Below are 26145 nucleotides of genomic sequence, written 5' to 3'. Positions count from 1 at the left end.
GAACCTGGTTTTAAGAAAAAGCCTATCAGAAGGCTTTGACCAATAACCTTTCTGGGAATTTCCCGTACCCTGTGTATTCCAGAACATTTATTTTACTTCAGCCACATCCTCTCAGGTCACGTGAAGCCTCATAGCATTATTGGTGGAGCCATGAGTGTTTGGAGAATAAATGTTAAAACGAGTAAAATAATTTCCCTTTGGTGTCACCTATAATCTTTTTAAAGTTTTAAACATCCAGAAAAACAATACGGCAGTCATTGAATATTGAAGCTGAAAATCAAGGAAGAGAAAAAAACATGAACAGAAGAGAACTGCAAAGCAGCATGTATGAATGAAAAACTTTATTATAGCGGGGAGTAACTCACCATTTTAGGGGTCCTGGGTAGGTAGAGATGTGTCATGAAGGGCTCCTAAGAAGGGATAGTATCTGATCTGAGCTCTTACTAAAATAGTAACAAGAATGTAACATGAGAAAGTGTTATGTCTGGCAATCCTTGTAAGAACTTTGGGGCAGGTTATGTTGCCATTTACAGTTAGCTCCTTCTCCACTTCCCTGCTAGAGCACTATACATTCCTGCCCATTGTCATGCATTTTTGTTTGGAATCACAATGCATCCCACTCCATCAACTTTCCAACTTGTCTATGGCCATTTTCTCTGTGTTTTTGCATAACCTTTTTTCTATGCATTCCTAGAATGAGAGAGAGAAAGTGAGAGAGAACACAAGCAAGTCCTCTGGTATCTCTTCATCTTTTTATAGGGACACCAGTCCTATTGGATTAGGGTCCCACCCTTGTGACTTAACTTTAATTACCGCCTTCAGGGCCCTATTACCAAATACAGTCACATTAGGGTGTTAGGATTTCAACGTAGAGACTGGGGGTGGGGTGGATGCACAATTCAGTCTGTTAGAGTATATAGATCTGGAGGAAATGCATTGTTGATATATGTTAGAACTTTAAGTGGCCTGTACTGATCTACATTAAATAAAGTGCCATATAAATTTAGTCTGATAATAAAAACACAGATATGATATATATAGTCCTTTATATATTTACTTATTTATATATTCAATGATTCATATATTCATTTATATATTAAATTATTATATATTCGTTATATGTAATATTCAACTGAATATGTTATAGATTCAATTATTTTTCTACATAGACTTAGAAGAGAAGATATTCTGGCCAAGCTCACATGGGGAGAAAGAAATTTATTTACGTTTGATATTTCTGCAGTGTTGGCTCCTTTCAATATCTAGATGCCTTTCCTTGACTTCTCAATTACCTTCTTTGTTTCTCAGGTGACTTATGTTCAGAATTCCTGAATTTGCACAACACCTACTTTATGCCATCAGTCTCTAATGTCACCGTTTCAGCCAGATTCCTGCCCTTGATAATACTGCATCCTGGGAGAGTAAATGAGCCATTATATACACTCAAAGAGTTAACCCAGTAATTTACTGAAGCATAGGGAAAAAAAGGAAAACTGAAAAGAAACAAACAAACAAACAAAACAACTAATAAAAGCTCCCCTAATGAGCTAATGAAGTAGCCTTTTTCTTTTATTCAAGTATCACGTTTCACTTTCAGAACATGTCAGTTTGGAGGCAGATAGTTTTTTTCAACTTTTTAAGTGAAATAAAATAACAACTGTTCTTAAATACAAGTGACTATGAAGGCATATGTGTGAATTGTCAGCTGTATGGCCTTTTACTCAGGTGCCTTTCACATATGTAGGATTTCGTTCCAAGGGTGTATTTGGCCCATTATACAATTTTATCTGTAGGCAACACTTACAATTATGTAATTGCAGTGGCTACTATAATTACAATACAGCAGCCATTAAATAAACTGATGTGAAAATGGGGCTTTCTAAAAATTGTGGGCATATTTCTTCACACCATTCAATAAAGTAACAAGAACATACAAATTCTCTATTGATTTAAATATCTGAGTGTCATTTATACTGATTTTAGTATAATTTTCATCAAATGTGACATATGTTTTCTGAATACTAAGAAGTGTTTCTGGTGACTGAAGGTAAAAAGAGTTAAATTTCAGAAATCTTAAAATCTACTTGCGACAATAAGGCAATGACTCTGTTTAAGACTACTTCTACTTTTAGACTGGGTTCCTCTGGAATGTTGATTTACCTTGGTTCTGACATTTCTTTCCTTTATTTTAAACACTGTCAGTCAGCTGGCTTCTTATTTGTGGACTGGGAACATCACAAATGTCTCTTAAAATATCCTTTATTTAACATTCCATTCCCTGTGAGATGCCATTTCATCTCTCCCCTTTACATACAAGCTCCTTCATCAAACCCTGGTCTCCATACCCTGAATGTGGATCCAGTGTTTACTCATCTGCATTTGGCTCTCCCTCCTCCAGAACACCCTCATTCGATACCATCGGGGGCTTTGTAATTGCCAAATCCGTAGAGCACTTTTTCGTCCTTTTCTAAGCTCCTCTTTGATGAACTTGACTCCATTTGCAACTCTTTTTGATTCATTCTTCCATGTTTCGTGTATCTCTTCTGATTCTCCTCCTGTCTCTGACATTGGTTATGGCTCCTTTGCCCGGTCTTCTTTTTTACTCTGATACTTTACATTGAAGTCTGTCTTGGCATTTGTCTTACCCTTCAGCCTCCTCATAGAGCCTCTTTTATAACTTGAAATTCAGCCAAATGCTGATGATTTGCAAATCTGTTTTCTCAGCCCAAACTCCCTGAGCACCAGACCTCAACATCCAGCTGCCTGAGAGATTGCTCCATTTGAGAGCTTCATAGCACATAAGATCTGCACAGGTAGAAGGAATGTCTGCTCTTCTTTCTGCATTTCCTGCCTGTGGTGACTGCCACCAAGAACCAGGCAGCTACCTCACTGGAGGTTTTGGAGTCATCCTGGCACCCTTCTTCTCTCATATGCTCTTCTATAATCAATCCAATCTGTTACCTAGCCCTGTAGTTTCTATTCACAACTCATGCATAGATATGACTTTTAGCTCTTGCTCTTACCTGTATTACAATAACCTGTTAACTGGTTCATTGCTTCCTATCTCTCTCGTTTCTCCTCAATCTCTCCCTCTTTCATACACAGGCACATACACACATGCACTCGTTTTGCTCTCCTTCCAATCCATTTGGTGTAGGTTGCCATGTTCACAATACAAATCAGATCACCTTCCTGGTGGACTCCACTCATGTCTGTCATTTTTAAACCCTAAATTCTTAAACATGACGTTCAAAATCCCCATTATATGTCATAATCCTTGTTTTCAGCCTTTTCTCTTTTATCAGTCACCATCTAATTTCTTGCAGTTTCTAATCACATAGATGTTTCTCATTCAATGCCTGAAGTAATTCCATTGTTTTTTCCTTCTCCAAGAAGTTTTCTACCTCTATACAAACTTCCTTGACTAACACTTAGCTTTTAAGATACCTTGTATCTCTCATATACCACCTTTTTTTGTATAACATTTTATGATCTCTTATCACCCTAAATAGAATTGACCTTGTTTCTCTACCACAACCTATGTGTCTCTCAGTACACCTCTAATATTGGTTGAACAAATACCTTAATCTTCTCCTAAGCAATATATCCTCTCTATGCCTCAATATGGTATAGGGATATTCTAAGATATAATAGAATATGTGTGGTAAAATGTTTTGAGTCAATGACCAAATGAATGAAATGTACACATACTTAAAGAGATAGGCAGGATTGAATACAGATCATTAGAGAGGGATGAAACAATGAATCATGTCTCTGAGACAAGAGAAGAAAACAATTTCTGGCATCAAGAAAGACTTCATGAAAAAAATACAATTGCTTCAGTTCTATAGAAGATTTAGAAACCTGGAATGAGGGTGACATGAGACCCAGACTGTAATCTGGTATATTCTCTTTTATTGCTAATATCTCTACATAAATATATTGTGAAGTAAAATAATTTCTGGCTGATTGAAATTTCTGGTTATTTGAAGTTTTTCTCTATTTGTACAATAACACTTTTTCTGATCATCAGCCATAAAATTTCCTCACTCTACCTTGCCTTAGATAATTTATTTTATCTTAGACCTTTCTTCTCTAGCCTTTGCCACTAGAAACACTTTACTAGTATCTTAAAGTCTAATTGTGAAAATAAGGGAATGACATTAAGGTTACTTCTAGTTTTAGACTGGATTCCTCCAGTATGTTGATTTACCTGGGTTATGACATTTCTCTCTTTTATTTTACTAGTATCTATAACCAGAATTCCCTTTTACTGTGATTCTTTATCTCTAGATTTTTTTTTCAGAAATCTTCAGAAAGGTAAAGAAAAAGTAGCAATGCCCGTTTTTCTTTCCTATATTTTCTTTCTCTACTGCATTCTTGAGACTACTATGGAACATGGCTCTGTATAAGAAAAATATTGTCCACATTTCAAAGGCATTGCTCCCTTGGGAATTTAATTGGTAGCTTGATTGTGAGAATCCCAATGACTTTAAAAAATTTTTTTTTTTCATATACAAGCTGTAGAAACAATAACTCTTTACTTGTGCATGAGTCATAACAATTTACAAAACATTTTAGTTTGCATCATTTCATTAAGACTCACAACAAAGTGGGAAGCAGTATCAACATTTTCTTTATAGAGATGAAAAGACAAACTCAGATTAAGTTTCTGCTTTGAAGGTACAAAAGTAGTAAGCGATAATGCTGGAACTTGAATTCTTTTTCACTTAGAAATTTCTTCAAAATGAATAAGTTCATGTCCTTTGTACGGACATGGATGAAGGTGGAAAACATCATTCTCAGCAAACTAACACAGGAACAGAAAACTGAATACCACATGTTCTCACTCATAAGTGGGGGTTAAACAATGAGAACACATGGACACAGGGAGGGGAACATCACACACTGGGGTCTGCTGGGGTTGGGGGGCAAGGGAAGGGAGAGCATTAGGACAGATGCTTAATGTATGTGGGGCTTACAACGTAGATGACAGGTTGATAGGTGCAGCAAACCACCATAGCACGTGTATACCTATGCAACAAACCTGCATGTTTTGCATATGTATCCCAGAACTTATTAAGTCAAATTTAAAAAAAAGAAAAGAAAATCAGTCTCTCTCTCTCAAGACAGATTGTGTTATTGAGAGACAACTCTGATTATCTGTAAGTTCATCCTCCTGTTAGGTGAAATGTATCTCAGAAAAAACTTTCATTTCCAAATTCAAAGCTTTAGGTTTTATTTAGAATCATAAACCCAGGGAAAAATAAACAGCTTTCTCTTTTTAGTTTTCCTTTGAGATGACATGAAGCTCAAAACCCAGTTGTTAGAATAAGAGGTGTTAATAAGATCTGGAGGAGAGGCACACAGTTTGATATTCCGAGCCAAAGACAGGCTTGCTGGGCTGTTTCCTCTATCAAATCTTCATTATCCACCACACTGTGTCATTACTCGCATGTTTTAGCATCAACAAGCTGCTCTGACATCCTCCCTAGCCCCCTTTCTCTCTAGAAATAAATACTATTGATCAGCAGTAGCCATGTCTAAAGCTGGCAGGAATGCATGAGCTTATTAAGTTTCTTTATTAAAGTTGACTATAATCTGGAAAGAAGAGTTGATTCCCCTTGGACTTACGGTCATTTATGTTTTTTCCTTGTAATCCTCCATTTGGAACATTTCATTACATACTGTCTAATGGGGATTGGGAATATTTTCATTCAGTAAACGATTTTTGTCATGCTGCTTTTTCCCAATCATTAAAAACTCAGTAGAAGGACCACAGAGAAAGATGCAAAGTGCAGCTGTGGATATCTACAAGCTTAATATGTGGTCAATTATATTTGCTCTAATTTATAAGGTGATTTGAGACTAGGTTTTAGATCCAAAGAGTTTAACTGTAACATTCACCCTTTAGTGTCCTTGTGTTCTATCCATTATTTTCCTTTAATATATCTCAAATTTCAAGGCTTTATTTTTTCCTGCAGCTGTTAAATTCAATCGTTCTCTTGAATTTCAGCAAAAGCTTTATAATGAATTTCTCTGCTGTCAACCACTCTTTCCCTTCTCCTTCTTTCCTCCCTTTTTTTTTTTTTTACCTTTCTTTTGCAGCCCAAGTGATCTGTTCAGTATACAAATATGACATGTCAGCCCACTATGCACTTAAAATTTCTAATGATTCCTCATTACATTTAGGCTGGAAGCCAAATTCACTTCTAACCCCAAGATGCCATGTCTGATTCCTCAGCTTTAAGCTGGAATTCCTCTGATTTAAGCTGGAAGTCAAAGTCACTTCTAACCCCAAGATGCCTTGTCTGATTCCTTAGCTCTGTATTCAGCCAATACTTCCCTCCTGCCCATCACACACCTTACCCTTCAACTTCAGTAAACTTCTCACCATTTCCTTCAATATCTGTATGGCTGTGTCCATGACACATATCCCTTCTTCATCTAACTAACTGGTATTCATCTTTGAGACTCACTTTTTTTTTTCCTGGGATTTCCTTCCTGCTGTAAGTGTGTCTACCATGTAGATCACCTGCACCAGTGACTTTCTGTTAGGGCTCTTAACACATTCCACTGTAATTACCTGATTACTTGAGTTAATAACTACTATTCCTAAGCTACTTGAAGACAGCATCTGTGACTTTACAATTCCTTTGTCTGTAATTTCTAGCTCTGTACCTGGCAAAGAGTAGGTTTTTAATAAAACGTTGTTGAATGATTGAGTGAAGGAATGAATACATAAACACATGAAATAAAGTGAAACACTGTATAACTGATAATATTTGCTTGTCAAATGATTTTCAGCTCCAGAAAGCAAGAATTGTGATGTCTGAAAAACCAAATTTGGAGGACAAAATATATAGACCTGTGACTCTGAAAACATTAGATCTGCAAAGGACTGTACAGATTTCCTAAAGTGTTCAAATGAATTTAGTTCAACTTTTCACTTGATAGATGGAGAAACTGTCCTGAAGATGTTGAGGGGCTTCCTGGAGTTGCAGAACTAAGCCCCTCAGAGCGAGCACAGGACTTTTAAATGCTGCTTATGTATGACTGTGAAGAGTTAGTCACTTCATTTTTACCAGAATTGAAATGGTTATATAGTATGTGCTGTCTTCATAAAAATATATATTACTCAGCAACCCATATGGTTAGAGGCAGGAGTTCTAAAAGAAGACTCTTCAAACCGCAGGGTTCTCCAAGTTCCCAAGTTTTACTGGAGACAATTTCAACATTTTCCTAAAATATACTATTGACTCATCATAAGTTAAGAATGCATTAACACCCCCACAAAATGTAACCAAGAAACTGTGTTTCACCTGAAAGTGTATAGTCTAATTAAAAATGAGTAAAACCTGAATATCTCAGTTTCTTCCTGGTATTTAATTTTTTTTCTTTTATTCTGAATATATTCCAGTTATCTACTTAGGTCTTTCCGTGAAGTATCAGAACATAGTCGACTTTCTCAACTCTAGGAGATGTAGGGACATAATTCCTAGTTTTAGCAGGAATTCTTCAGACTTGCTAATAGTAATATGAGAAGCCCTATTCAACTTTTCAATATGTCTAATACTAAGATGGATATTATGCATTACCTCTCAATGAAATTACACAAATTTACTGGAATGTTAAGTTGGCTGAAATGGTTACAAATGGCAAGAGCATGCTGATTGCTGTTATATATTTATTTGCCCAATAACAAATGGAAATTAAAAAGAGTCAACCATTATAGAATAAATGCAGTTTTTTTGGTAGACATTTGGTTTCTAAAAGTCGTATGTAAAATTCTCCGCAAAACTAAAAGAGAGTTGCTTGGTTATAACAAGGTTGATGCCCCTTGGTACAGTAGAAATTTCTTTTTCCAGGTCTGATATTCTGAAAAATAGACTATGGGAAGTCATAAGTAGAGGTCATTATTTCACTACAACTCATTCCTAAAGTAGTGAAGAGTGTTAGGAACTGAGCAGCATCCTGAATTGAGCCTCTTAAGAATCATTGAGGTCCGATAACTTGTGTCAACATCATTATCACAGGATTTGAAGGAGTTGGGTAGGGACTCATGAGTGAGAAAACTGATAGAAAGTTCTGGGGTCCCTTCTAATATTTGCACTTTCAATATCAAGTATAACTAGCTTGATATGAGAACTGGAAATGACAGTTTCTAATTTATATAAGATCTCCGGGTTGTTCAGTGGGAGAGCCAAAGTCTAAGGTTAGAAGGCAGCTGCTCTCTGTAATTCTGCAGTATACACAAGAGATCTATCAATCAATGAACTATAATTTATAATTACCCCAAATTCACATCATGAGAAGAGATATCACCAAAGCATTTTTAATCAAGTCAGACTATTCAAAACCCGCTGCTCAGGAAACTCTAAGATGTGGGGTTTTGGCTACTATTCAATTTCTGAGGCATGGGGAATATGGATCTTCCAGAAATGCAATTTCCCATTAAAGATGTTATATAGGAAAACAGTACTAGAATTGGAGTTATAACTGGTATCTAATTTTGTTCCATTTGCTGAATTGCTGTATGACCTTGGATAAGTCACTTCATCTTTCTAAATCTTATTCCTTATCTATAACATTAATGGAGGTGTTGTTAAATGCGTTCTTGGAAGCCTTATGCCTTCTTTAAAGTTGCCTTAGGACAAGGATGAGGATAATTCTGCTATAATTAGGGCTGATTATGATCTCTTAAGGGAAGCAGTTATGATATCTTATTTATATACTTTTCTGGCAAATTGTTCAGTTGCATTTGCCCTTAAATGCTCTCAACTTAGTGGACAGTCTGAATTTCCAAATCTTATGGAAATAAGTGATTTCCCTAAACCTTAGAGATATTTTCTGCTAGGCTGAATTGTTAAGGATTTTTAAAAGTTCTAACTCCAGTTATTTTCCTTCCTTCAGTGATTGATTGGTGATGGTTGGAAATAAAATTAGAAGGTGTCCCCCAACTGTGAAATGACTCATAAGAAAGGTTCAAAGTGTTCTCTTTTGAAAAGTTCTTAGACTAAGAAAGTGCTTTGTTCCCTTAAAATCTCTTGGATGAAATGTCCAACCCACTTAGAATGATCTAATGTTAGAAATGGAAAGGACCTTAGTTTCACTTTCTACAAGCATCTTTTTATGGATGTGAAATGTGAGGTCCAGAAATATTTTCTTGACTGGGGAAGGGGAACAAGACGGGGAGAAAACCAATCATACAGCATGTTTCACTCTCTTTTAATAATTGTCTTTTATATTTGTATTTTATTTTAAAGTTTACAAAGCACTTACATAGCACTTAATTTCATATGTATTATCAGCCAGTGAGAAGGTTAGACTGTTATAAATATCAAGTGTTATGTTGCAATGGTAATAACTAGCTAAATCAAGACGAAAATACTTTCTGCTTCAGATCAGTGTTATTTCTACTCATTAATCTACCTTAAAAGTTTAACTTTAATTATTAAAAAAAATAAATGAAATATTGATACTGTGGTTATTTTCAGCTATTTCTCATTTAGATTGCCCCTTTTTCCAATAAAATTATTATTAACAGTGAGATACAGAAATTTCTTTACTGGAGAATTGTTTGATCTGACAATGCCGAAACAAAAATATAAGTATCATTGCATGCTTCTTTTAATATTTGTTAGGTGAATGGTAGGTAATAAGGAAGGAGGGCTGGGACATCCCTAGAGATAGAAGTCAAGAGTCTTACATATGTTACAAGCTGCTGGACTTTTCAAGGCAAAGGAGTTTGGTCCCAGTCTAACCTAACCAAAACTGTTGTGAGTTTGCCATGGCTGTTGTGTTCATAGTCACCCCTTCTTTCTGAGAGACACTCGAAACAAAGAACAAACACAGCTTGCTCCAACTTCTAACACTTTGCCAGAAGGTGATCAGAAAATAGAGTTATTAATTAATAACTCCTAACAAATATGAAGTAAGTAAATGGAATATGTAGAGTAAATCTAAGCTTTCATTAGGCATAGATTAGAGAGCTCCACCCTGTGCCGTGGCATGCCAATGTTGAATGTTTATCATGTATTCTCGAAAGGGAAGAAGGATGGCAAATTGTTTGGGAAGAGAGCTTCCAAGTTAGATTGGAAGTCATGTTCTGCCTATCAAAATACCCCAGCATGAGATGATGACTAAGCAAAAAAAGAGGAAAGAAAGCAGCTACCACTCCAACGAAGGGCTAAAATGGCTTTGCTACCCAGCCTCTCCCATCCTCTGCTGATTCTACATTAAAATCATGATGCAGGAGCATTCGATTTGAGAATCACACACTCATTTCAGAGAAGTTGTATTTTTTTCAGTTCTAGAAAAACCAAAGTGATGGCTTCTATGTGCCCAGGGAATAGATCCAGGAGGATCACCTCAGAGACCCCACAAGAGTGGCCAATAAGGAAGAATATTGCTCCAAATTTCATGCTGTCATGAGTAAGGAGATGGTATCCAAACTACTATAATTTACAAAATGTTTTCTTTACTTTCTTAGGCAACTTGAAGAATGACTATATAAGAAAGTTAAGGAAAATATGACTTTAATTTACAAGTGAAAAACACAAGACTCAAAAGTGTTAAATGATTTGCCCAGGGCCAGGTATTTCAAGTCATAATTTATGAGTTTTTCCATTTCTAACAGTTTCCTCCCATTTGAGATGAAAATTGTGCATCATATTTATTATTTGTTATTGAACCATTATGTATTGTTCACTGAGTCAAGCATAAACAAGCCTTCTTCACTCAGTGGTAAGGAGTATATTATTTACATTTTCTCCCAACAGTCAATACAAGAGAAAATACAGAACATTTCTGATAAAACTCCTTTTTTACCTTCTTATTTTTTCTTAATTCTCTCTTAGATATGTAGTTCTTAGTGGATTGATTTGCCCATTTCTGGACCCCAGAGGATGCATAAGAATCAGAGACATATAGTGGGGCAGTGACCTTGTAAAGCCCAAAGCAGGGGCTTATTCTCCAAGGACAGAGTAAACACGTACAACTTGGCTAAAAGTAGAATTTTCTAAACACTTCTGTGGACTAAGAGAAAAAAGTATTGGGAATATTGGAAGCAAAATCCATATTTTTCTTTCCATATTCCAATCTCAGATGTGTTGGAGAAAGGTTAATTATGTTTTATCTTTTATCCATTCTGGTTATAGGTGTACAAAATAAAAAAAAATCAATTACCATTAATTCTTATATTTTTTGTAACTCTCACAGAATTCTAATAAGACAGAGGACCTTGGTAGGTAAACTAATAGACTCCAGCAGGACTCCACACCCTACTGGAACCTACGAATATCTTACCTTTTATGGCCAAAAGTCTTTGCTGGTATGATTAAGTTAAGGATATTGAGACTGAGAGACCATCTGGACAATCCTGGTGAGCCCAGTGAATTTACAGGGGTCTTTATGAGAGGGAGGCATATGGTTAACATCAGAAAAAGATATGATGAAACTAGAAGTTGGAATGATGCTCTTTGGAGATGAAAGAAGAGACCCAGAATCAAGGATTGTAGGTGACCTCTAGAAGCTTGAAAAGACAAGGAAAAGAACTGTCTCCTAGAGACTACAGAAAGAAGGCAGCCCTGAGGATGCTTTGCTATTAGTCATGTGACTTCTGGAACTCTAAGAGACTATATTTATATTGTTATAAGCCACTAATTTGGTGGTAATTTGCTCCAGCAGAAACAAGAAAACTATAGGTTCATCAGGAGAAGGGGTAGTATGTTTTAAAGAAAAGTAATTGAAGAAACACAGAACTTAAGTAACTCAGTTTTACCTTCCTATTAGGGTATAAGGCCGTGTTTTAATTTAATCCTTCATATTTTTTGTGTTAATGCATCCATATACTCATTGAGTACCAAAAGTAGTTCCCAGCACTGTTCAATGGGTTTCTTATTGGAAGTCCAACGATGTCCTCTGAGATACACAATTGGTCTTGAAAGGCTCTTGAATTATCATTTGAAGTAGACACATGGTGGGAGAAAATAGAAACTCTATATTGGGAGGCCATTTTGACACAGGAAGAGGCTGGGGCAAGACTAAGTAGTAAAGAAGCAGAGACTGGTGGCTCAGGTCTGGATTTGGGCTTCATAAAACAGAAGACAGCATCTTTCGGATTACTTTCTGGCCTTCCGGGCTAGGGAAACTGGAAGATCTAGACAGATACTCTGTCCAGGAGTAAAGGCACTGCATTTTGACATTCCTTTCCTTGTGCTGTCTCTCAGGCATTTGTATATGGAAGATGGAGTGTGGGATAGAAAAGAACCTAAAAATGTGGCTCAGGAAAGCAATGGTTTGCCATTGGGTACACTTAGACGTGTGTACTTTTGGAGAACTCACTTGTTCCTGGCTCCTGGACTACTCCTCACCCCAACTCCTGACATTCCAGCTCCACAGCCTCCAAGTAAAAAGCACTTGGCACATTCAGAGATTGAGCTGTCTTAATCTTTTTGCCATTGTGAAAAACAGGTGTGAAAGCTCCGGGAAATTGGAGCTATTTTACCTGGTAGGAGTTCATTGTGCTAACCCTCCTGGAATATGTTGTGCACTTTTTTTTTTTAATCTCAAAATAACTCTCTTTATGGGAGGTGATAATTTTATATTTTTAAATTTATATCTTTTTTTGAAACATTTTTCTTACTAAATACTTTTGAAAAACCAAAATGGCATTTGTGATCACTATAATATTACTAATAACATGATTACTAGTAACAGTACCTGATATTAATCAGGTTCCAATAATGTGAAAGTTGCCGAATTGATACATAACATATACATTATCATTAAAGCCAACAACAATTAATTAAGGTAGGAGGTACTATTATCTTCATTTCATTGACAAGGAAACTAAGGCTTGGAAAGTGAAAGGTCGCCTTTATAATAAAGTCAGCCTGTGCAGAATAACTCGGAAGATAAACTTTGCGAATAGATCTAGATCTTCTAACTTTATCCAATGAATCATTTAATTACTTGATAGAGAAAACTTCAGCTTCTTTAACTATGTAAGCCCAAGACATAGCATCATTCAATGCATGCAATAGGTGCTTAAGAATATTTATTGCATTTTCACTTTGAGATCAGGCACTGGGAATGTATCAAGTTATTATGTCCTCATCACTAAAGTTTGAGACACCAAATTACAAGAACTACATGGAAAAAGTAAATATAATTGCACTCTAAAAATGCTGGTAAGGATTGTAAATTGAATGTATCTTCTTGGGGTTTGCTTTGTCATACAAACCCTGAAATATAAATGCCAAAATGTTGGAAGACTCATGGATTACCCTTATTCCCTCAATTTAAAAAGGCAATTGACAGACAGCATTGTGTATTTCACCCAAGATTTTAGTGTTGTCTAGATACCCAAATAGCCCCTCAGGTTCAGTGGTATCCAGTGCAAGTGGGAGAAAATAGCATATAAGCTCTCTATCCCTGACATTTTCTCCAGAGACCCATGAAACAAGTGAAGCAGGTGGTCAATATTCAACTGATTGGAGATGGATATTTCTGTATCAGAGGCAGAATGAATCCTGCTTCAGGCATTAGTCCATCGTCTTCCCTCTAACATCAGCACACAACATCTAATACAGACCTCCTCATCCTACCCAAATCCAGCATGACAGATCACACAAATGACTTTGGCAAATACTCAGAAGCAGGTAATTTATTGATTAGTTGATTGGCTGATTAATGAAATTTCTGGTTGTAAGAATAAGTTTTTGATCAACAGAAAAGGGTAAAAAGCCATTGTGGAGGCTGGGCACGGTGGCTCACGCCTGTAATCTCAGCACTTTGGGAGGCCAAGGCAGGCGGATCTGGAGTTCAGGAGATCGAGACCATCCTGGCTAACACGGTGAAACCCTGTCTGTACTAAAAATACAAAAAATTAGCCGGGTGTGGTGGCAGGCCCCTGTGGTCCCAGCTACTTGGGAGGCTGAGGCATGAGAATGGCATGAACCCAGGAGGTGGAGCTTACAGTGAGCCAAGATTGCACCACTGCACTCCAGCCTGGGCTACAGAGTGAGACTCCATCTCAAAAAAATAAATTAAATAAATAAATAAATAAATAAATAAATAAATAAATAAATAAAATAAAAAAATAAAAAGCCATTGTGGAAATGAATCACTCAGGCATGATACCTATGGTAAATGTGATTTTTTTTAACTTATAATGAAGAGGGATACTAAAAATTTTTCTGGAAATAGCATTCTTTGAACTGTCTCAAAAATTCTGATGGGATCTGCTATGGTATGAAAGTTTGTGTTCCTCCAAAATTTATATGATTTCAATACATGAATTTTGGAATTCTAACCCCCAAGGTGATAGTATTAAGCAGGGCCTTTGAGAGATGGTTAGGTCTGGAGGGTGGAAGCTTCACGAATATGATTAATGCTCTTTTACAAGAGGGCCCTAAAGAGTTCTTTTGCCCCTTGAGCCATGTGAGCATACTGTGAGAAGATGCTCTCCATGAGCCAGAAAGCTTGCCCTCACCCAACACCAACACTTGCAATCACTCTTCACTCACAGGTATATCCTGAAGGAAATATATGAGCTTAACTAGGTCCATTCATTTTTATGCCTTGCAGACTCATTTCCTTCTCTAGAAAGCAATGAAACAAGAATCTGGTCATGGGATTTTACCAGTGCAAAGGATTAATCCACCCAATTGATGGCCAAGAAACCAACCAGTGAGAGCAGGAAGCAAGAACACCTCGAGACAGGTTGGTGCAATTATTTACTTTCATGGAGAGCTACACTTGGTCCTCAGCAAATCCAGACAAAATTGAAACTGTTTTGGCAAATGTTAGTAACCACAAATAAAGCCTCTGTTGTTCCTCACCACTTCATTTTCAAACCCTGTGTCTCAATCAGTACTTAGAAAAACAGACAGAGACTCCACAGGCCTGGAGCTATTCTCCCAGGAGATGTTGAAAATGAAAAAGAAGCCAGCAGCCCTAGATGAAATCTATTTCATACTTGTTTCATAACAATTGCACCAGATAGGGTATTGAAACACAATGAGTCTTTGGGACCAATTTCAGAAACAATTTTTGAAGTTTACTTTTTAAAGGAGAGCCTATGGTACTTGGGAGAAGCAATTGGCAAACTTTTTCTCTAAAGGAACAGATATTAAATATTTTGAATCTGTGGGCCAAGAGGCCACATTGAGGATACTCTATGAGTGCTGTATAACAAGAGAGATCAGAGACAAAGCTTGCCCTGCTGGCTTTTTTCCCTTGGGTGGTCCACAGACCTCTGGGTTGGTGAGCATGGTTTGGGTCCATCTATTGGCTGACGTTCTTCAGAGGAGATGGAATGCCGGCCTGGGTTGAAAGAGATTGTCCCTAGTTGCTTCTGTCCCAGTGACAACCAGATCTAGGCATGCTCTTTCTTCTCTTGGGAAGTCTGGCCTTCTTAACTAGGCAAGCTGGTTGGAGCAAGGAGACTCAGTGAGTTACCAACTTCTAGACAGAGATTTCATTGCCCCATGCCTGACGTTGCCAGTGACAGAGACCTCAACATGTAGATGGCAACTAGGGCAGGTGTGGACCAATGGTGAGGCTTAGCTACTGGCCAGGGTAGCAAAGCCTTGGGGAGAATGGGGAACAGGATGAAAGGGAAACCCAGCTTTGTTTCCACAACTCAAAATGCTAGTCCTCTGGAGCAGCGCGGGTGGGCTGTACAAAAACAGAGAGAAGCCTGGATTTTGTCCACAGGCAACCTCTGTTTTAGATCCTGGCTGAACCCTGACATGATTACCTTAAGGAGACACACTGGAAGAAGGTAGAAACTGGAGAAAGATGTTTCTACAAAAAAGCTGTGAAGATAGCTCCAGCTACAGGTAAATGAGCATAGTCCAAAAGGCAGAATTGCAGTTGTAGACCAAATGATTGGCACCATGAGCATTAATAGGAAGGATGAGGAGAGAGTCCTAGGCAGAGACTTCATCGTGACCGGGAAAACAGAAGCACACGTAGCTCACTGTATTACCCAGACATTTGCTTCCCCTTCCATGTGAAAGAATTACACATCCTTGTTCATTGCCTGGTGAATTTTGGGACCTTTCCATGGGAGTATGGTTCCTGCCGCATTATCAGGCTCAGCCAAAGGATGTATTTTGACTAATGAAATCTAAGCACACATGATGTAATGCTAGGTTGGATCAAAATCTTTCTGAAATATTTCATGCTTCTGTCAGCAATTCCCTTTTATCTTCTGCTAACAGAATGTCTACACTCATTTATTTCAGATGTGGAGTACATTCAGGCCCACACTGCCATTTAGCCCACATTTCTTGAGGTGGAGAGTAAGACTCAGTTTTCATAAGCCATTGAGATTCTGAGGTAATGGGTTACTGCAGCAAAGATGACTAACTCACAGGTAAAATTTAGAAATGCAGAAAAGAGGCTTGTATTGGTGAAGTCTGTTACTGGATAGTCAGGTTCCAGACACCAAGTTAAGGGTTAAGGCCAGGGCTCCAGTCTCCATGATGATAAAAATAAGCCAGGACATGACGTCTAAAGACCCTAGTCCCAGGATGCTTGACAGGGTGCCAGGATAGGTATTTAGATTGAAGAAATACGTCTTCCTTGAGTCACAAGGTTACAGCTGACCATAGAAACCCTGACCCCAACCTGAGTCATTTAATCATCTATCTGTGTATTAAGAGTCACCTACTCTATATTCTAAGACACACCAGGAGGTAAGGGTACAGAGATACCTCAATCTTTGGGGGCCTCAAAGATTAGGAAGGAAGATTCACATATAAGCCAAATTTCCCAGAGTAGATTACATACTATGTTATAGCTACAATAAAGATATAAGAGGGGAGAGATTAATTACTCATGGGGAGGGTACATCATAAAGTGTTTACAGGAAATTCTGGGTCTTGAAGATGAGTAGGTGTGTCTAGCTTGAGGGACTAATATGTTTAACAGCAAAGAAGCTTAAGGATCAGACCAAGTTCCCTAAATCTTTCTTGTGCAGTCAGAATTTGTCCAAGAGAAGTTCTCTGAGTACGGTCCATTGGTCACCTGCACCAGAAGCAGCTTCATAACATAAACAGATCTTGTGTTGTCAAACCTCCTGAACTGGAATTTCTACACCTGAATCCTGGGAGTATGCAAAACTATCTGACCTTCCAGATGACTCTCTGCACACTCAAATTTGAGATCCAGAGATGCAGCACAGTGTGTCTCAAACCTGGCTACACATTAAATAATCCAGGCAGCTTTTGAAACATACTGATGCTTGGGCTTCACCCCAGAGATTATAATTCGATTGATCTGAAATGGGGCTGAAGCACTGGTATGTTTTAGAAGTTTCCTACTTTTATTTTCATGCATAATCAGTCAGAGAATCATTGGTCTAGAGAAAAACATTGATTCACAGTTACTGTGTATCCGTCATGTGTGAGATATTATCCATGGTGTTGTAGTGGCCACAGTGATTAAAATTATAGTGGTCTTTCTTAAATGTAACTTAAAATGTTGAAATCTGATAGGAAGATAGTGCCTGGCAGAGTAGACATTCAAAATCATACATTGAGTGAACAAGAGGAGAAACTTATCCAAAGAGGCTGAACATTTTAATCAAGTATTCCAGGTCATTCACAAGTACTGTAACTGAAGTTTAGGCACCGCTGTCCCTGGGAGAATGGGACAGTGTCCCAGGGAGAATGTGGAAGGGAAGGAGAGTTAAATGGGAAATAGAGAGAAAGTCTGCGTGCAGATAAAAGTGGCTCAGGCTGGGGGCACAGGGGCTGCAGTGGCCAGAAACCAGGCAGACCTGGCAGGACAGTCTGGCTTTCAGAACAAAGAGGCTCCATTTTCACTGCTTTATGGGCATAGAGCTTTTGTTCTCTTGCTTCTATTACAGAACTTATCCTCAGAAAGTGTGTTATCTACCCGTTTTGGGTTTTGTTTATTGCGTTTTCAGAATTGAATTTTTCAAGAGCGATTGCCACAATACAATTTTGTAAACTTGTAGAACTGAACATTTCTAATTAGGTTGCTATAGCCCTTAGCCAAATTACTGCAAATGTCATCTCTCCACTCTCTTTTTGATGCAAAAATGTAGGGCAGTCAGCAATATACACAATTTAGTCTTAACACAGGCAGACGCTGTTCATGGTGACAGAAGCGTCTGTTTTTCATTAACCCAAAATTTGCTTAGTCAAGCAACTCCCTCATTACACAGCTTGCATTGAAAAGGAGGTTTCTTTCAAGCAAGCTGCTAGGTTAGCATTAGCTGTCCATAAAAATTAAGTAATTGCCCTATCTCAGGATGGTTAGGAAGTTGGTCATATTCAAGGGCCATCCCTGGCCATGTTGAATCTTCTCTAATGGCACAGCCTCAGGTTTCAGGGATTGCACATCATTGGAAGACTTGGCAGAAACATCCAGTCTTTCATTGTTCTCTTCCATGAAAATCTATTTTCAGTTCAAGAAAACATTAATTTGTGAGTAATCCAATTCTGTCAACCCCAGAACTGAATTCCCCTGCCTTTGTCATTCTATCCCCAGCCTTTCATAGATAGAGCTATGAATTGTTCCAATGCAAAGCTCATCTCTACACCCCAGCCTGGGCTGGTTCATATGCAAACAAAGCATAGTAAAACCAATGAACAATTGATTAAAAAAAAAAAAAAAGGACTAATGGTCAGCATTGAGTACTCACTATGGACGAGGCATCGTATTAGGCCCTTTAAGTCTCATTTAGTTCTGTTTACCATTCAGAAAAAGTACATTATGGCCAATATACAGATGAGAAAACCAAGTCAACAGAAATAAGTGGCAATATTAATGTTACACAGCTAAATCATGAAAGGGCCAGTTACACAGTAGTGTAATTCTATAGCTCTTTCTTATAACATTCTAATCAACATTGCTGTGGGCATTAACAATAGTAATTTTTATGCTTAGAATCCTCACCCCCAGTCATGAACTGTGGGCTCCCTCATCATGTGTCCTACTCTAGGTGCAGTTTTTCTACAGATGAAGCTGGTTTCTCAAGGATGGTTTCCCCTAGTCTCCAGTTTGCTACTTATGGATAAATATCTAATATAAAGCTGACTTTAACTCCCAAATCTTATGAATCATCGACTCCAGATATTTTATTAAGTAGATCTACCAATGAGAACAGGACCCCACCATTCTCTGCCCTCACCAGAAGGCTCCCTCCCCTCTGTCTTGATCTGAGAGATGGGGTAGATGTATATGCTTACGATGGGGAATGACATGCTTGTGAGATCTTCTCTTTCACAGAGCTAGCATCACATAAAACCAGACTCTTCACACCTCACAATGTTGCTCATGGACTGATTTTTCAGATTCATTTCTTTCCCCCATCTCCTGTTGCTCTGTTGTGTAAGCTTTTTGTCTCATAAATTCATTTCTATGTTCAACCTCATTTTCTGCCCTAGCTCCTCCAAGGTGACTGTAAGCTTCTTCCTAGATATTATTTGATTTATCTTTCTGGCTCTACTGTCTTCCACCTATCTGAATGATCACTAGCTTAGATCTTCCTCATCCCCTCTACCTTCTAATTCAGAGCCAACTAGAAATCTTAGAAGCAGTTTTGATGACTCCTTCTTTACATTTGCCATTCAACCAGGACATTGTCCTATAGATTCTTGTGCCTATAAATACCTTTGAATTTCATGATTATCATGTAGATTATGAAAATATCTTCTAACTGTTCTCCACACCATGACAGCCGTATATTGTATTCTACTTTTCTACCAGAGTGATCTTCCTAAAGATTGTATCTCTCCTTTTTAAGCCTCTGAATGGATATCCATGCTTTCAAGATAAAAGTCCAAACCCCTTATGGTATCTGTCTTATGTATAGTTCAAATTTTATTCATTTTTCAAAACTCAATAGAAATTTTCTTTAGATTTAAGTCTTTCTCAACTCACCTGCTGTGGTTTGAGTCCCTAAAACTCATGTTGAAAATCCCCAATGTGTCAGTATTGAGAAGTGGAGGCTTTAAGAGGTGATTGAGTCATGAGGGCTCTACCCTCATGAATGGATCAATCTATTCATGGATTAATAAATTAAAGGATTAATTGATTAATGGATTAATGACTCCCTATGAGAATGACAATGGTGGCTTTATAAGAAAAGAAAGAGAGACTTTAGCTAGCACACTCAATCCCCTTGCCATTTGATGCCCTGCACTTCCTCAGGACTCTGCAGGGAGTCTCCACTGGCCACAACGCCCTCTCCAGATACACCCCCTCAACCTTGGACTTCTTGGCCTTCATCACTGTAAGAAATAAATTCCTTTTTAAAATAAATTACTCCATTTCAGGTATTCTGTTATAAGAAACAGAAAATGAACTAGGACATCAACCCACCCTGAAGCACTATTACAGCATTTCTTAAGTTGCACTGTACCTATTTATACATGTCCTTTCTCCTTACTCTGAATTGTAGGCTTCTTGATTAGGCAAGGACTGTGTCTAGTTAATTTCTGTACTCACAACTTCTGGCACAGTACCTGGCATGTACTTTTTGAATATTTAACAGATGTTTGCTAAATGTTTGGATGAAGAAATCAATCGGTGAGGGAAATAGAGGTCAGCATCCCCTATCCCTTTTCTTCTGCTGAGTTCAGTGTCTGCCCATGTCCACACATGGGAAGGTTACTGACTTATTCAGATATATGGATAGATGTGGTCATTAGAAAGACCATTGAAGTTGCCCAACTTCTTTTAGGTCAAACATAAGCCAAGCTAATACCAATTGGCCTTTGTGCTGCAGAAAACTTGTATTCAAAGCATTTACTTTTTAAACTCAAATTTGCATATGCCCTTACCTTGTAGAAGAGGAGATGAAGTTGTAAAATTATTCTGAAATAGGATTTTGCAACTGAAATAGAGGAGAGATGAAAGTAAGGGGTTTGATAATGCTGATACCTAAGAGAATATGAAAATTTGGTTGTGGGTAGAGAGCAAGATCAGTGAGTAATTTTCCTCCTGACTCTAACCTGTAGGACATGATGAGGTCGTGTGGAGGTCCTTGGAGGGGTTCTGAAACCAGGCACTCCACCAGCTACTACTTACTGAACACTGCCTGTGCCGAGCACTGCTTTAGGCTCCAGGAATGAAGAAGCAGTCAAGATGTGCTACCTGCTCCTGGAGCTTCTGTGTGGAAAAGGCACACAATAGCTAATTACAAGGCAATGTGGCAAGTGCTAGAATAGAGAGTAAAGAGTGCTCTGGAAGCACATCAGGCATTGAAGGCTTTCCTCTAGAGGATCTGGGAGAACTTTGCAGAGGGAATTTTTTTTTTTTTTTTTAGATGGAATCTTGCTCTGTCTCCCAGGCTGGAGTGCAATGGAGCAACCTTGGCTCACTGCAACCTCTGACTCCCAAGTTCAAGCTCACTGAAACCTCAGCCTCCCGAGTAGCTGGGATTACAGGTGCACACCACCATGCCCAGCTAATTGTTGTATTTGTAGTAGAGACGAGTTTCTCCATGTTGGCCAGGCTGGTCTAGAACTCCTGATCTCAAGTGATCTGCCCTCCTTGACCTCCCAAAGTGCTGGGATTACAGGCGTTAGCCACTGTGCCTGGCCTGCAGAGGGAACATTTGAATTAGATTAGGAAGGGTAAGAAAGGCTCCTCCAGTTTGATTCAGGGAAAATGGCATTCTAGCTAGAGAGAAAAGTTGGTGTAGAAATCCCAGGATGTAAAGTGACATGGTCAAGTAGTGATACAAGGGTAAATGGTGAATGAAAGGGAGTGTTAACAGATGAGTCTTGTGGAGGAAGTTGGCCAGAGTCATTGGTACTTCATGTATAGGGAGTGGAGTTGATGGAGGATATGAAAGTGGGAATTTACTTGGTCACTCCAATATTGTATGTCCGGGGGAATCCTGGGGCCTAAAGCTCATATGATTGAGGGTATTTTTGATGAGTTAAATAATATTTATATTTGTATTTTGTACTAATGCAAAATTAAATGCAGATCTGTGAAAGTGAGGGGCTCTGGGCTGGGCACAGTGGCTCACACTTGAAATCGCAGCGCTTTGGGAGGCCAAGGTGGGTGGATCATGAGGTCAGGGGTTCGAGACCAGCCTGGGCAACACAGTGAAACCCCGTCTCTACTAAAAATACAAAAATTAGCTGGGCGTGGTGGTGGGTAACTGTAATCCAAACTACTCGGGAGGCTGAGGCAGGAGAATCACTTGATCATACCACTGCACTCCAGCCTGGGCAACAGAGCTAGACTCCATCTCAAAAAAAAAAAAAAAAAGAAAGAAAGAAAGTGAGGGGCTCTGAGTTTAAGGTTCATTAGGTTCAAGGTAAACTCTCTGCTGGTTCATAGAAGGTGAATATTGGTATAAAGCACCCTTACTCTCAAATAAATTCTGAGGATAAGGAGAGACTTGCTTTGTTAGAAAGAAAAGTGACAGAACCATAAAACAAATAGAAACCTAGTTTAGACGGGCTGAGCTGGCCTGTATAAAGATGTCCCTTGTCTGCTTCTGGAAAGCTGTTACCTCTCACTTTATATAGGAGCAACAGATTGTGCCTTCTGACAATCCTATCATATCCTCAGTGTTGCCTCTGGCTGCTCCTGGAAGGGGACCAATCCACTGGGGCAGGATGGTTGGAGACACAAAGGCAGGAGAGGGGGCTTTCGTTTTTTAAGTGTGCCAGATATCCTGTGTTTAGACAGATGTCAATACCATTCCTTTATTCCTGGAGCCTGTATTCCATACTTGTTGTATATGAAAAAAAATGTCACCAGACCTCATACATTTTGCTGCTATTCTTCCCAACAGGATCTGAAATAATTGATCTATTAATCTATGTATGCAATTTTTTTCTCTTTCCAAGTACTCCTGGAAAGAAAATGTGGGGGAATTTACCACTTTCTTCTAAGATTTTCTGCATATCATGCATCTTACACCAGTCAGCTAGTTTGAATTTATGAGCATTTTTGGTATCTTTCACATCTCTGCTATCTCTGGCATATTATATTATTTATACCTTCTTTTTTCTTTCTTTTCTTTCTTTCTTTTTTTTTTTTTCTTTTTTTAGACAGGTTCTAGCTGTCACCTAGGCTGGAGAGCAGTGGTGCAATCTCGGCTGACTGCAACCTCCACTTCCAAGCTCAAACAATCCTCCAGCCTCAGCCTTCTGAGTAGCTGGGACCACAGGCACACCAGCCACCATGCCTAGCTCATTTTTTGTATTTTTTTGTAGAGACAAGGTTTCACCATGTTGCCCAGGCTGGCCTTGACCTCCTGAGCTCAAGCTATCTGCCCATCTCAACCTCCCACGGCACCTGGCCTATTTAAAACATTACATCATGATATATGTTAAACACACACCTAAACACACATAGACACACACACACACACACACACACACCAAAGAGATAGCTAATTCCCTGTGTTACAGATGAGGTCATGTAATTTGCCCAAATCTATACATTTCATAAAGTCAGAGTTCACATTTGAAATCTGGTCTCACCAACCCCAACACTCAGTCTCTTCCCAGTAGGAATTTTAATTTTGTAAGGGCTCCACAGTTTAAAAAAATATTTAGGGCCATCATGGCACTACTCGAGGCACCCATAAAAATATTCTAATTTGCTTTCAACTAATGGAATCTCTAAAGAACTTGGACTTTTGTCTGATGTTGCTCATTAGAAGTTCTAAGAATAAGCAGAGATATGTTCTCATGTTTCTGTCATAAATTTCACCACTCTAATGTCCTCATTGCAAACCCATCTCCTGCACAAAGAAGCCGTCCTTCTTATTTGGCATGCAGATGTGATTTGATGCATGACAGCAGTGTGATCCAACTACTCAACATCATGTAGCTCTTATACCAACCAGAGTGAGCTCCTAGATATTCCTATCATGAGTGGTTTGAGTTCTTCCACAGGAGACTTTATTCTTTCTATCTCACTAATTGAATATTTATCACATTGTTAATTATTCAAGTGTTATTTCACTTTTACACCTAACTTTGGCGCTTGTATGCAACCATTTCTTCATGGACACATAGGGTCTTCCTTGTATCACCTTATTTAAATGTATATCCTCTTCTCTAATTAACTATGTCCTCTTCAAGGACATAATCAGTGTCTCGTAAATCTTTATATTTCTCACAGCACAGAGCACAATTCTGAATATGTTTTCCATAATTATTAGAATGAACAGGTAGATACATTTAGGTATAATGATCTTTGACAAAATTGCTACTGTACCATCTCCATATTGGTAGAAGTCAATTAGAGGCAGCTAGCAATTTTATGAAATCTTTTCAGCTTTGATAGATTCTCAGAAAACTCTAAACGTGATTTATATATCTCAGTGGCAGGAAAAGAAGCAGTTTCTGATAGTGAGATTATATAGGTGATTTCACATGTCTCTTCTCCAAATAACAGGCAGATATAATAATCTGTTTTTTAAAGAAGGAAAATCTGACTTGTTTAACACAAAGAGATTAAACTTAAGTGAATGGAATTTAGTAAGATTTTTATGCAATAGACTATAGACACTTAAATCAATGTCCTTCCTAGAAACAATTTTCTGTCACTATGACAGAGATTATTAATTGCCTTAAAACATCATGTGGGTCTGAAGAAGGAACCCATCTGAATTCACAAGGTTAAATGTTTGAAAAACTAAGAAAAGAGGGTCAGAGAGGCATCTGACAGAAGAGTCATTGCAAGGGGGATACATTTTTAAATCCATCTCTACAGTTTTTAAATCTCTCTCTCTCATGTTCTCTCTGTTCAGTGAAACAAGAAAATACCAAAAACATGGTGAATCTTAGCACCAACAAGGAAAAGGAATTTGACAACATTACTCAGGCTATGTCTATTGACTAGATGAAGACAGTAGATTAAAAGCTGGTTAAACATTCATCCAGTGAAGGCAGCAAATGGACAGTTGCCATCCTAGAGAAACTCTGTTAATGACATGCTACAGGACTATCTCCTTTGCAATGTTTGCATTGACAAATTGTATGAAAATATACATGGCCCATTTATAGAAGGAGAGCATAAAATAAAACTGAGTGGGAGAACTTTACATATGTAATTGCATTTATGGAAGTACAGAGTGTAGGAAAAAGAAGAGTTTTCTTAGCTACTCAATTTAAAAATGAAAGTGATAATGAGGAATCTGAAAGTCGATTTGCGTGAGAGTTTTTATAAACACTTTTGAATGCTTGGGCTAATTGGTAAAGCTTAGGGTATTTCCCTAAAGATACAAAGACAAGGCCAGGTGCACGTGGCTCACACATGTAATCCCAGCACTTTGGGAGGCTCAGGCAGGCAGATCACCAGAGGTCAGGAGTTCAAGACAAGCCTGACCAACATGGTGAAACCCCATCTCTACAAAAAATATAAAAATTAGCTGGGAGTGGTGGTGGGTGCCTGTAGTCCCAGCTACTCAGGGGGCTGAGGTAAGAGAATCACTTAAACCCAGGAGGCAGAGGTTGCAGTTAGCTGAGACTGTGCCACTGCACTCCAGACTGGGCAATAGAGTGAGACTCCATCTCAAAAAAATAAATAAATAAGGAATCAAAGATTCATTTTTCTTACAAAAGGACGGACACGGAGTCTTAATTACCTACACATGATGGTAGGACATTTGACTGGAAAGTTGGGGGGCAGCTGAAGACTAAGGAATGGAGCCCAGGTATACAGGGTGAGGCTGCAGTCATTATGGCTAGAGAGAAGATATGAGAGGTACAGAGTTCCCTGAGGCTGTACTGAATACCCACTGCCATTTTTTCACAGCTCATCCATGAAATTTTTAGAGTCAAGGGTTAACTTGTGAAGGAGAATGAACACATTCAGGAATATCTCTGTTCTCTAGCAGAGGTCCCATATTAGTTTGCTAGGACTACCTTAACAAAGCACCACAAAGTAGCTGGCTTAAACAACAGAAACATACTGTATTACAGTTCTGGAGGCTGTAAGTCCAAGATCAAGATGTTGGCAGGGTTGGTTCCTTTTGAAAGATGTGAGGGAGACTTCCATGTCTCTCCCACAGCTTGTGATAGTTGCTGGCAATCTTTGCCATACCTTGACTTGTAGAAGCACCACACTGACCTTCGCCTTCATCTTCATATGGTGTTCTCTCTGTATCTGTGCCTCTGTCTC

General features: G+C 38.4%; 1 long non-coding RNA gene across 1 annotated transcript in view; it reads left to right on the top strand.

Annotated features, from left to right (window-relative positions):
* LINC00276 (long intergenic non-protein coding RNA 276) overlaps nucleotides 1–26145 on the top strand; it is a 172085-nt gene that overhangs the window by 69263 nt on the left and 76677 nt on the right. The window contains exon 2 of the long non-coding RNA NR_103814.2: nucleotides 14593–14727. This is a non-coding gene — a long non-coding RNA (long intergenic non-protein coding RNA 276). The remainder of the gene's footprint in view (nucleotides 1–14592; nucleotides 14728–26145) is intronic.

This window comes from Homo sapiens, chromosome 2, assembly GCF_000001405.40.
Source record: "Homo sapiens chromosome 2, GRCh38.p14 Primary Assembly".
Classification (NCBI taxonomy): domain Eukaryota; kingdom Metazoa; phylum Chordata; class Mammalia; order Primates; family Hominidae; genus Homo; species Homo sapiens.
Note: the sequence above shows the minus strand (reverse complement) of the source record. Positions and strands in the feature narration are given on the sequence as shown.